Raw genomic sequence first — 12,095 nt, 5'->3', positions numbered from 1 at the left:
AAATTCTATTTCACAGTCCATGTTTCAAGTGCTTGGTAGCCACCTGTGGCTCGTGGCTTCCTACTAGACCATTCCGTGGTGGCAGGAAGGTCTGTTGGACATCACTCTCTTAGAGTGGCGGGCACGGAGTAAGGGCTGAGACGTTGACTACTAAGGGGCCTGAAAATGTCTTAGCTGCGGTGGAAGCTCATCCTGTCACCTCCCTGGCCTCCTGCCAGCCCAAGGGGGTCCCAGATGCTGGCCATCTGATTTATCTTGGAAGGAATTCCCAGTGTGGCTGCTGGCCTTGCAGCTGGGAACTCATTTGAAACTCACCTGAGATGGGGAGGGGGCAGCATGGCGAGGCCCTGAGAGCCCCCTAAGTGAGGTAGAGTCAGGGGCTCAGTTACACCACAGTGAGATCAAGTCAAAAGACGCACACCGGGGACAATTGCCGCCTTTGTCCTCGGGAGGGGGATTGGGACTCCTGGGTGTTATCAAATCTGCCGGGAAGAGGGAGGGAGGGGAGCCAAGTGATGGGAGGAAGGTGGGTGAGGAGAGGGGCAGGAGTGGTCCTAGAGGGAAGGAGAAACTAGGTGTTCTGGAGGGTCTGGCACCAGGAGTTGGCAGCTGTCACTTTTCCTAATCCTCAACACTTGTGTCTTTTGAAGAGAAATCCAGGTGCACCTGTGTCCCTAGGAAGGACTCCTTGCCTGACAAAGGCACTTCTTTAAATTACCTCCTTTCAGTGTGCGTTGAGACACTGTCAAGGCTGCTCACAGTGGCAAGCACTTGCTCTCGCTCTGTCCCAGGTGGGGTTCTAGGTGCTTTCCTGGGGTTACTCCGTTTGATTGGCCCGACATCCTTGGGGACCCTTGGTAACTCCATTTCTCAGATGGGCAGCTGAGGTCTGGGCAGTGAACGTGAGCAGCATCCCAGGCTCCTGGACAGGAGAGCTGGACTCAGGGTCTCAGGGCCTCCCCAGGCCATGGTGGGGAAGGGACAGATTCCCAGCCAGCTGGGCATGGGCAGTGAGGCCAGCACTCAGCTGCTCACTGCAAGGCACTGTGTGCCCCTCTCAAGGCCTGCCCTTCCATGTGCTGGTCCCATCCCAAGTGCTCTTTGTAAATGATCTCACAGGGAAGGGCCTATTGTCATTCCTGCTTGACAGATGAAGAAAACTGAAGGCACAGAGCAGTTCAGTGGTGTGCTTGAGGTTGACCAGGTAAAAAGCATCTGAGCCAGGGTTCCCTCCAGCCATCCCAACTCTGCAACCCAAGCTCTGTTCATCCTTGGTGCAGCCTCTTCTTAGCTCTCAATTGTGTGTGTGTGTATTTTTGGACCTAGATGGATTGGTAGCATTTTGAAATAATAAAGATTCCAACAAGGCCAGGCACGGTGGCTCCCGCCTATAATCCCAGCACTTTGGGAGGCCAAGGGTGGGTGGATCACCTGAGTTCAGGAGTTTGAGACCAGCCTGGCCAACATGGAGAAACCCATCTCTACTAAAAATATAAAAGTTAGCTGGACAAGGTGGCGGGCACCTGTAATCCCATCTACTTGGGAGGCTGAGGCAGAAGAATCAATTGAACCCAGGAGGCAGAGGTTGCAGTGAGCTGAGATTGCACCACTGCACTCCAGCCTGGGAGACAGAGTGAGACTCCATCTCAGGGGAAAAAAAAAAAAAGATTCCAACATGACATTGGTAAAACACTTTATGATTTGCATGACCTTTTTTTTTTTCAACATCTTTTCCTGGCCAAGTCTCACAGCTTTCCTCCAGGTGAGCAGTGTAATTGTGCCCGTTTTGCAGGTGAGGCAGCTGAGGCTCTGGTTGGGTACTGCTCAGTCCCCCGGAGGTGTTCTCTGCTGGGCTGAGAGTTTTGGATGGGAGGCAGGTCAGGAGCTCCTGGCCAGACCATGCGGGGAGGTGTGAATGACCTGGATGTGGAAAGAGCTCCGATCAGAGCCCCGACTGTGCCACTTGTTTGCTGTGTGCCCTTGGGCAGTCACCCTTCTCAAGCCTCAGTTTCCTCATTGAAAAAAAGGCAGTGAGGATTTGTACTTGTCAGAGCTGTTGTGCAGATTGCATGAGATAATGCCCCTGGAGTGCCTCGTCCTACGCTCTCAGGCATGATGAGTGCTTGGAAAGCAGTCATTGCTGTTATGAATATCATTGTTAGTATCAGTAGTAGTAGTGATTTTAAAGCCACAGTCAAGTTTTAATTCTTACATCTTATTCCTAAGGACTGTTCTAGCTCTAAAACTCTGTTTTGTCCATTCGCTGGCTGTAGAGTGTGCTAGCAGACTCAAGAGAAGGAGCGGTCCAGGTCGCCATTGAGATTTTTTGCTGCACTGAGCAGGGAGGGCCACAGGACACCAAGCCATGGCAAGGCCACGCTGGTCCTCCTTTATCCAAAATAGGTGATGTCCACCTAGGTCTTTCAGTCCTTGTGAGCAGCCACTTCCAGAGGGGGCCTCTGCCCTTGTCCTTTCAGCCCCATGCCACACATACCCAAGTACACACCACATTCCAGGACCTTTAAAGTTGTCCATAAAGTCCAGTCTCCAGCCCAGACCTGCCTCCCGAACACAAGTCCTGTGCATCCAGCTGCCATCCTGCCTCCCTGCTCCAGGATGTCTACTGGCCCATGAGCACTCGTCTACCACAACCTAACTCCTGATCTTTCTCCCACAAACTTGCTGGTGCCTTTGTCTCCATCCCCTGGTTCAGTAAATAGCATCTGCATCCTTCCAGTTGTGTAAGCCAAACCCTGGCCCTGGCCTTGGCCATGACACTTTTCTTTCTTTCACACCCCACATCCAACATGTCAGTTCTACCTACAACATCTGTCCAGAGTCTGTCACCAAATAACTTATACCCCCGAGCTCATGATCCAAGCCACCAGCCTCTCTTCCCTACAGTGACACAACAGTCCCCTGCCCCAGAGTCCTATTCACCAGCATCTCTTCCCTGACATTGCACAATTGTCCCCTTGCCCCAGGGTCCTATCCACCAGCATCTCTTCCTTGCAGTGGCACAACGGTCCCCTTACCCCAGGTTTCTACCCACCAGTATCTCTTCCCTGCAGTAGCAAAACAATTCCCTTACCCCAGAGTCCTATCCACCAGCATCTCTCCCCTGCAGTGGCACGACAGTCCCCTTACCCCAGGGTCTTATCCATCAGCGTCTCTTCCCTGTAGGAACACACCAGCCTACTAACTTGGGCCCCTGCAGGCTTTTCAAATGTCAGTTAAACTCTGCCTCCCTCACTTATAATCTCACCATGGCTCCCATCTCACCCAGAGTAGACACAGAAGCCTTCACGGTGGCTCACAGGCCCCTCCCTCACCCCTGTCTCCTTCCCCTTCGCTCTCTCTGTCCCCCTGCAGCGGTCTCCCTGTGGCTCCTCACACACACTGGGTATGTCCCTGCCCCAGGTCCCTTGCACTTACTGTTCCCTCTGCCTGGAATGCTCTCCCTGCAGACACTTACCCTCTCACCTCCTCAAGTCTTTTCTCAAATATCACCTCTCAAGGAGGCCTTTCCTGACCACCATATTTGAACTCACCCTCCAGTCTGTCTCGCTGCTTCCTGTTCCCTTCCACGTTTTGTTTTTCTGTGTAGCACTCATGGCCACCTGATATAATATTGGTACTTTGCCAAGTGATCCCAGTGTGGCTGGGAAAAGTTAGAGTGCCTGCTGTAGAAGGCCTCCTGTGGGAACGGCACAGGCCCAGACAGAAGCTTCCCTCCCACCTTTTCCCCTCTGTGCCTTCGATATTTGTTCCAGTGGGCCAGCAGCACATGAATATTTTATACCTGTACAGCTTTTGTCTTACTCCAGGCACTGTTCTAATTACTTCATACGCATGAATTCCTAAAATTCTCATAAGAACTCCATGAGATCAGCCTGGCATTGTCTCCCTTTTACAAATGAGGAAACTGAGGCACAGAGCGGTTCAGCGACTCGCCCAAAGTCATACAGTTGATAAGCAAAGAGCCAGGATATGAACTCAGGCAGTCCAGCTCCAGAGGCTGCATTCTTGCTCTACTTCCTCTCTTTTGTGTATTCATCCACTTATTCATTCATTAAGAATTTATAGAGTGTCTTCTTTGCCTTAGGTGCGACGTTTTAGAGACGAACAGATCACTAAAAACTGGTTCCTGCCATCAGGAAGCTTAGTCTAGTGGGAAACGCTGAACAAGTAAATAAGGGAAAAGGAAAATCATATTCATTCAGCAACCATTCACTGACGCCTGAGATTATTTCCCAGCCTTTAAAAAGTTAGAGGAGGCCAGCCCCTGGTGTATTCCCTGATTGTGTTCATTTCTAAGCCAGAGAGCCGAATCCCTATATGCCAGCTCTGTTTTAGGCACTGAGGTCTGAGATAAATAATATACCATTTTTGAATTTGAGGGGGATTACATTCTAATGACAGAAGGAGAAGAGTGAATTACTGCATGTAAATATGACAACATGAACTGGATTTGGTAGAGGAGTGTGTAGGGGACTATGGGACCCCAGGATAGGAGCTCTAACCATTTGGGGATTGGTTTGGATGAGTGCATGGCTGAGTGGTAGGATGAATGGATGGATATATAGATGGATGGATGGATGCATGCATGCATGCACAAATGGATAGATGGATGGATGGATATTTGCTAGATAGATAGTAATGGGAAGGCTGGTTGAATGAATGGAATATGAATGAATAGATGGATGGATGGTTAAACGGACAGATCTTAGAAGATGGTTGGATGGATGTTTGGGTAGTAGGATAGATGGATGGCTGAATGGGTGGATGGATGGATGGATGGATGGATGGATGGATGAATGAATAGCTATTTGGAAGGATGGTTGGGTGAATGGATGAGCAAAAAGCTGAGCTCACTGCTGGAAAGTTGGACATTTTCCCAGTGAGATCACCAGATCAGCTGAAAGAAAGGATGGAAATCCATGCATTCGTTCATTCATTCATTCAACAAATATTTATTAAGCACCTATTTATGCGTCTGGTACTGTTTTAGGCTCTGGGATTAGACATGGTACTTGCCTTTATGGAGCTGACATTCCGGGGGAAGGGAGACAACAAACAAATAATAGAATATATATATGGAATCTGTTGTCAGAGAGTTATAAATGCTATGATGAACAAACAAAGCAGGATGAGAGGGCACAGATGTCAGGAGCAGGGGCATTTTATTTTAGGCGATCAGGAGAGGCCTCCTGGAGAAGGTAAGTTCTGAACAGGAAGTGAGGAAATGAGCCATCTGGGGAATTGCATTTGAGTCAGAGGGAATTGCAAGGTCAGAGCCCAGAGGCAAAGAGGCCAGTGTGGCTGTCAGGGAGGAGAGGAGGTCACAGAGAGATGTGTTAGAGAGTGGGGAGTGCAGGGCCCTGCTTCCCTGTGAGAGAAGGGTTTGTCTGCATCTTGGAAGCCTGCGGAGGACATTGAACCCGGGCTGATCAGCGTTAGGAAGGGCACCACCCTCCCTGCACCCCTGCTTGCTGGTTCCCAGCCCTGCTCCCTCCTGGCTGCTTGGCAGTTGGGAGGCTGTCAGCATTTTAATTACAGATCCACGCTCTCAATGGTTTACAACTCAACTGTAAAACAGGCCCTGGGCAACATGTGGCACCTCTGAGTGATTTACTTGCTCACCATTTCTATATTTAGTGCCATTTAATGCTTGTTGGCCAAGTTTTCAGAGAGAAAAAGAAGGAGGAATTTGGTGGTAGAGTGGGGAAGGGGTCGGTTAAGTTTTGTTTGTTTGTTTTTAAAACACACAGATGTATTTTTCAGTTGTTTTCTGAGATTATTTCCCAGGCTTTAAAAAGTCACAGATGGACCAGCTCCTGGTGTATTCCCTGATAGCGTTCATTGCTAAGCCAGAGAGCTGAATCCCTTGCAAAGTTGCCCTTTTCTTCTTAAAAGCTGTGTGCACTTCCTGGTGAGGGTTAGGTTTAAAGGACGCCATGGGCTGAGGGTATGACTAAGGGCCAAAGGCATCAATGACTTAATATTTCACCTGTTACGGGCTGGGCTTCAGGCCATGTGCTCCCACCCCCTATCTGGGCTCCCCTCTGAGACCCCCAGCCTCAGGCTCTTCACAGCTTCTCAAAATTCACCTGGGGAATGTGTGGAAATGCAGCTCCCGGTTCCATGTGTGGGTCTGGGGCAGGGCCTGAGATTCTGCATTTCCGACAAGTTTCCAGGTGATGTGGATGGTGCTGGTTGGTCCAGGAACCACACCTTGAGCAGCAAGGATTTCAACCAGCACTGTCCAGTAGAAACATAATACCAAACACATGGGTCATATGACATTTGCTAGTTGCTACATCAAAAAGGTAAGAGGTGACATTAAATTTAATAAGATATTTTATTTCATCTAAGATATCCCAAATATCTATCTGATATTGATTACATATCATTTCAATATGTAATCAATATGCAAATACTGAGATACTTTTTAATTTTTCTGTAATAAGTCTTTAAAGTCTGGCATTTGTTTCACACTCATAGCACATCTCAATTCAGACTAGCCACAGTTCAAGCACCCATATTGCTCATGGCTCCCGTTTTGGAGGATGCAGATCTAAATCCAGCTTGAGTACCCTGGTGATAGGGAGCTCGCTACCTTCTGGAAAGTCCACTCCATACCTACAGAATCCGAGCTGAGAGTTGCCCTTTGAGACTAGCTGGGGAGACCCAGCTTTACTCTCTGGGTCCCTAAGCCAGTTGGCATTCTTGGTCCAGAGCAGTCCTGCAAAACTTTGGGGGCTCCAACCAGGTCCCCTTGAAGCCCTTTCCCAGCTCCCTCCTGTGAGTCGGGTACCTCCCGTTCTCTGCCTGAGCCAGCCCCAACAGCAGCCCTGAGATGGTTTTTTAGGTAGTTCATAATCTCTGATTTTCTTGTTGAAGGACCAGGCTCAGAGAGGTTAAGTGGTATCCTGAGGGTGACCCAGCCAACAGGTGGCAGAGCTGGGGCTTGAAGAAGGGACTTTAAAACCTCTTCCTCTGCTGTGGGAGTCTTCAGTTCCTTCCGCACACCGTGGTTTCAGAGGACCTTTCAGGTCCACTGTTGCTCCTGCACATGCACCAGCCAGCAGGCCTACATGGTGCTGACAGAACCTCAGAGACAGCAGGAGGGTGAGGACCCGAAGCCGCACAGCTGAGAGAGAAACCCACGTCCCTCTGGGCCCTGGGTCTCCACTCCTGCAGCAGCTCCTTGTAGCTCAGAGCACTGAGAAATTGGTTATTTCTCAACCATGCCCCCCACCTGCTCTGCCCAGGGGAAGAGGCCCCACCGCACCCTCAGCTGGGAACTGCAGACGCATAGAGATAACCGGGGTGTATTTCCATTTGCCCGACTGGAAAACCTCTACACCACCAAAGGCAGGAACAGAATATCTCAGAGGTGTCTTTGCACACACATCCGGGGGCTGTTGCGGGGCAGCGTGGAACCTTGGTTCAGGCCAGTCCAGCCTCTTGGACACCAGCTCCTGCACGCTGGACGCCAACACAGGTCGGGAGAGGCCAGAGCTGCTCCTCATGTCTCAGGGAGCTCCTGTCTGGGATGGGAAGTTCATAGGGCTTCTTTGGTAGCTGGCCACCTGGGCAGGGCCTTGCTGGGGCCCAGGCAGCTCAGATGGAGGTGGTCAAGGGCACAGAGGATGTTCAGCCAGGTGTGACCCGGCTCCTGGGTCCTTCCTCCATGTTCCAGAGCATCGTCGCCTGTGTCCCTGCCCCAGAGACTTTCCGGGATGCTTCAGCCTTGATCTTCTGTGGACTAAGTCAGGGCCTCTTCTACAATAACCCACCATGAAAGAATGGCTATCTAGACTCCTGAGCAAAGGTGAATTCATTCATTCATTCATTCATTCATTCATTCACTCACCCAGAAAATGCTTGCTGGGTGTCTCCTGGGAGGCAGACCTCCTCTAGATGCTCCCGAATACAGCAGATGGGGGCTCTGTGTTTCTGGAGCTGACATTCAGGAGGGGAGGGGAGAGCAAGCAAGTCATCCCAAAGTACCTCAGGTGGCCGGGGGGATGTGAGACAGGGGGATGTGAGAGGGGCTGATGCGGGGCACTGTGGAGAGGGGGCCATCCAGGGTGGCTTTACGTTGCTGAGCCGGAGCTGAGGAACTGGAGGAAGGGTGTCACAGGCAGAAGGATCAGCTGCTGTGGAGTCCTGGGGCAGGAATGGGCTTGGTGTCGTCCTGGAATACCTGACATTTTAAGTGTTCACAGAAGGGTTTTGGCGGGGCTGAGAGGCAGTGGGTGCCCTGGGGCCTCAGAGGACAGGGCAGAGGATGGTGTTCTCATCAGAGGCTACCACTTGGCCTCCGGTAACTGCCCACACCCCCAAAACCAGACACCCCCAGTAATGCCCTGCAGTGTGCTGGGCTCCAGCCAGGAGGAGCAAGGTCCCTGGCTCTCAGCACTCAGTCTCATGGCAGTTCCATCTAGGCCTCCCTTCAGGTCCCAACTTGCCTTCCTTTCCTACCTGGGGCTGCCACTGCTGCACCAAGCTTCTCTTCTGCACCCACACCCGCTCCCTTGGTTTTTCCAGCCCCAGGGCATTGCACTCCTGCTCAGGCACAGGTGATACCCTTCCCTCGAATTTCCAGTGGCGAACTCCTCTTCATCCTTCAAACCCCACAGGTCACTTCCTCCAACTGCTCATGGGCCCCATGGCAGTACATACAGGCCTTTATTTTGGACCAGTCTTCCTTCTACCGGTCTGGTTGTCTCCCTGACTATCTGGGCTTTTCTTGAAGACAGAGACTTTGTCCAACCACCCTCACTTTACTGGCACCCAGCACAGGCCCTGCAGTGGGAGGTTCCACTGGAGGGTTCAGGACTGCCAGAGTGGATGGAGGACATGACCAGGGCTCTCCACCCCTGGCCACATGTGAGAATCCTGAGAAGCTTTTTAAAATAGCAGACACCTGGCCACACCTGAGACCAGTGAAATCCTAACCTCTGGGGGTGGGGTCCAGGCATCAGCAGATTCTGAAAGGCTGGGATTCTGCAGATGACTCTGAAGCAGAGCCTGGGGAGAGCGTGCGGATGCTGCTGTGCCCATCTGGAGGCCAGGGCTGAGCCCTGCATGCCCACACGAGGGCCGACACCCCTGTCATTGCACGAGCAGCTGTGCTCCATGGCCCAAGTTCCTAGGGACACTGGCCCAATGGGGTCTCTTGTCTTTTTTTTTTTTTTTTTTTTAAAAACCAGCTTTACTGAGATATAATTCTCATGCCATACAATCCATCCTCTTAGAGTGTACAAGTCCAAGGTTTTTAGGGTATTCACAGTTGTGCAACCGTCACCACAATCAATTTTGAAACTTCTCAGCACCCCTCAAAGAAACTCTGTACCTACTAGTAGTCACTCCTCATTCCCTCTCTCCCAGCCCCTGGCAGCAACTCCTCTGCTCTCTGTCTCTATGGATTTCCTGTTCTGGACATTGCATACACCTGGAAGCATACACGCTGTGGTCTTTTGTGTCCAGCATCTTTCACTCAGCATAAAGTCTTCAAGGTTCATCCATGTTGCAGCCTGTGTCAGTACTTCATTCCTTTTTATGGCTGAATAACGTTTCATTGTATGGAAAGACAACATTGTGTTTACGCATTCATCCATTGATGGACATTTGAGTTGTTTCATCTTTTGGTTATTATGAATAATGCTGTTATTGACATTTGTGGACAAGTTTGTGTGTGAGTGTGTTTCTGGTGTTAGTGTTCCCCCAGCCTCGTGGGGAGGTCCCATCCCTCTTTGAAGTCCACCATCTTTGGGGTTGTCCCTGACAGAGCCCAGGTCTCTGGCCAAGAGAGAAGGGTCTGAACTGATGTAGGGGGCCCGTGCTCTGGGTCCTCTAGCTCTGTGTCCCATTGCTCTGCATCCCCATGGGGGTGGCCAGAGCCAGGCAGGCCAGCAGGAGCTGAGGACGCTGGCTCAGCCCTCATCAGATGCACAGTTTGTAGCTGATTTACCACCAAAGGGGTTCACAGCGGTTTTGCCCTCGGAGCTGGCCAGGCGGGTGGTCCTCTGGTTTCTGCGTGCTTTCCCGTTCTCTCTCTGGTTCTACCTGACTGAGCCCCCACCCTGCTTCTTCCTGCATCGCAGGACCTTTCTGCTCAGGTCTCTAGTCTGTCCTCTGCGTGGACACCTGAGAGAGCTTCTCCAATGCCATTCCACATGTGCTCCTCTGACCCCAGCGAGAACCATCAGGACAAAGACCCCGCCGGCCCTCCAGCCTGGCCCACTGCCCTCCTTCCTGTTTCCTGACTGCTCCCTGCTTCCTTCTGCCCTCGGCCTTTGCCCATGCTCTTCCCTCTGCCTAGCCTGCCCTTTCCTCCCTTTTTGTCTCGTCGACTCCTCTTCAACGTCTGGTTCTCAGCTCAAGGTCACTTCCTTACCTGATCACTCCAGTCGCTTTCTTTCTTACTGCTCTCAGTCATTCATTTGCAAGTATTTACTGAGCACCCGCTATGTTCCTGGTCTAGCTGCTGGGGACACAGCAGGGGATGGACAGACCGGGTCCTTGCCCCTGGGCAGTTGACATGCTGGAGGGAGACATGATAAGCACAACTAAAACGTGTGCTGTGTCACATTTGACGCAAGCTAGGGAGCAAAACAAGCCGGGGCAGGGGCGGGAAAGACCAGGGCAAAAGTCAGGGAGAGCCTCATAGGGAAGGTGAGATTTGAGCAAAGGCTAGAAGCACTGAGGAAGGGAGCCATGTGGAGAGTGGGGAAGAGTACCCCAAGGCAGAAGGGCAGCAGGTGCAAAGGCCCAGAGGCAGGAGCATGCCTGGGGTGCTGGAGGAACAGCAAGGAACCCACTGTGACCAGCATGGAGTGAATGAGGGCATAGGAGATGAAGTCAAAGAGGAGATGAAGTCAAAGAGGCAGCAGGGGATGCCTGGAGGACAGAGGGAAAGAACAGTAAAAGGAGCCCCGTACACCCGACTCCCAGCACGCACCCAACCCACAGCGTGCACCTGACCCACAGCGTGCCCCTGACCTCCAGTGTGCACCCGACCCCCAGCATCAGCAGCCCCAGCTTGTGGTCCAAGTCCTCTACCTCGTTTTCTCTCCTCAGCTCCCCACAACTGGAAGGGTTTAAGGAAAACCCTAGACAGCTTGTTATTTCACCCACACATGACTGTGTATCTCCAATCAATAGGGACTTCTAAAAAAAAACCATGGTGCCATTATCACCCTGAGCAAAATAAACAATTGCTCAGTGCTGTCTAATACCCTGCCTGATTCAGATTTCTCAAATTGTTTTAAAAACATTTTCCAGCCAGGCTGTGGGGGAAACTTCTGGGAGCTGTGACCACAGGAACGGGAGCAAGTTTGCGCTTTCCTTCAGGGCCACCATTGGTGGAAGCTGGTATCAGCCTTATGCCCGTGTGACAGTTGACAGCACAGCCACCTCCCCCTCCAGAGCTTAAGCTTCAAGGGAGTCAGGGGCTTGCCTCTTTCTGCCCACCTGGCCACCAACCTCAGCGCCTGGCCAGGGAAGGGATTAAGTTAGCGTGTGGTGGAAAGGTGAATGAGTGGATGAATGAATAAGTGAATGTATGACTGACTGCCAAGGCCATTTCAGGGTGCTCCAGCAGTTGGGAGAAGCACATAGGTTCAGTGGCTCCATGTCCCCGCTGTCAGCCTCCCTGCCCCTCACGCTGTGGTTGGGGTTACCCAATTGCCTCACCCCAGGTCACAGGCCACAGTCCCCACTAACCTAGACTCTGGGACAGGCCTGCCCAAGGCAACCCCTGCCCCGTAGTCAACCTAGCAGCCTGCAGGGAGGTCACTTATGAGAGAGAGGCACCCAGAATGCATCTAGGAGAGGCTGCACTGTGTGGTGCTGCACTGTGTGGGGCTCGACTATTCCACCTCCAAATGGGTTTGCTACTTTAAATGCCCCAGTTTACAGGGGAGCAAAGCTGAGACCTGGCCCCAGGCCCCCCATGCCAGTGTGCAGTGGGTCCATCTGCTAGCCACCACCATATGGGCTCCCTTCATGTTTGAGGGTGTGTGTGTGTGCGCTTGTGTGCCGGGAAGTATGTGGGCAGGACTGTGTGTGAAGGGCTATCTGTG

General features: G+C 51.8%; 1 protein-coding gene across 3 annotated transcripts in view, besides 2 other annotated features; it reads left to right on the top strand.

Annotated features, from left to right (window-relative positions):
• WNT7A (Wnt family member 7A) overlaps positions 1 to 12,095 on the top strand; it is a 63,814-nt gene that overhangs the window by 34,659 nt on the left and 17,060 nt on the right. The gene's annotated exons all lie outside the window — the stretch shown is intronic.
• Positions 10,180 to 10,680: an enhancer, noted in NCBI's record as "H3K4me1 hESC enhancer chr3:13876230-13876730 (GRCh37/hg19 assembly coordinates)". NCBI's record gives its function as "activates a minimal SCP1, AML or CMV promoter by ChIP-STARR-seq in primed H9 embryonic stem cells {active_cell/tissue: H9 hESC(primed)}" and the evidence as "EXISTENCE:reporter gene assay evidence [ECO:0000049][PMID:30033119]".
• Positions 11,369 to 11,869: an enhancer, noted in NCBI's record as "H3K4me1 hESC enhancer chr3:13875041-13875541 (GRCh37/hg19 assembly coordinates)". NCBI's record gives its function as "activates a minimal SCP1, AML or CMV promoter by ChIP-STARR-seq in primed H9 embryonic stem cells {active_cell/tissue: H9 hESC(primed)}" and the evidence as "EXISTENCE:reporter gene assay evidence [ECO:0000049][PMID:30033119]".

This window comes from Homo sapiens, chromosome 3 (genome assembly GCF_000001405.40).
Source record: "Homo sapiens chromosome 3, GRCh38.p14 Primary Assembly".
Classification (NCBI taxonomy): Eukaryota; Metazoa; Chordata; class Mammalia; order Primates; family Hominidae; genus Homo; species Homo sapiens.
The sequence above is the reverse complement of the archived record's forward strand: the minus strand, read 5'-3'. Positions and strand labels throughout refer to the sequence as shown.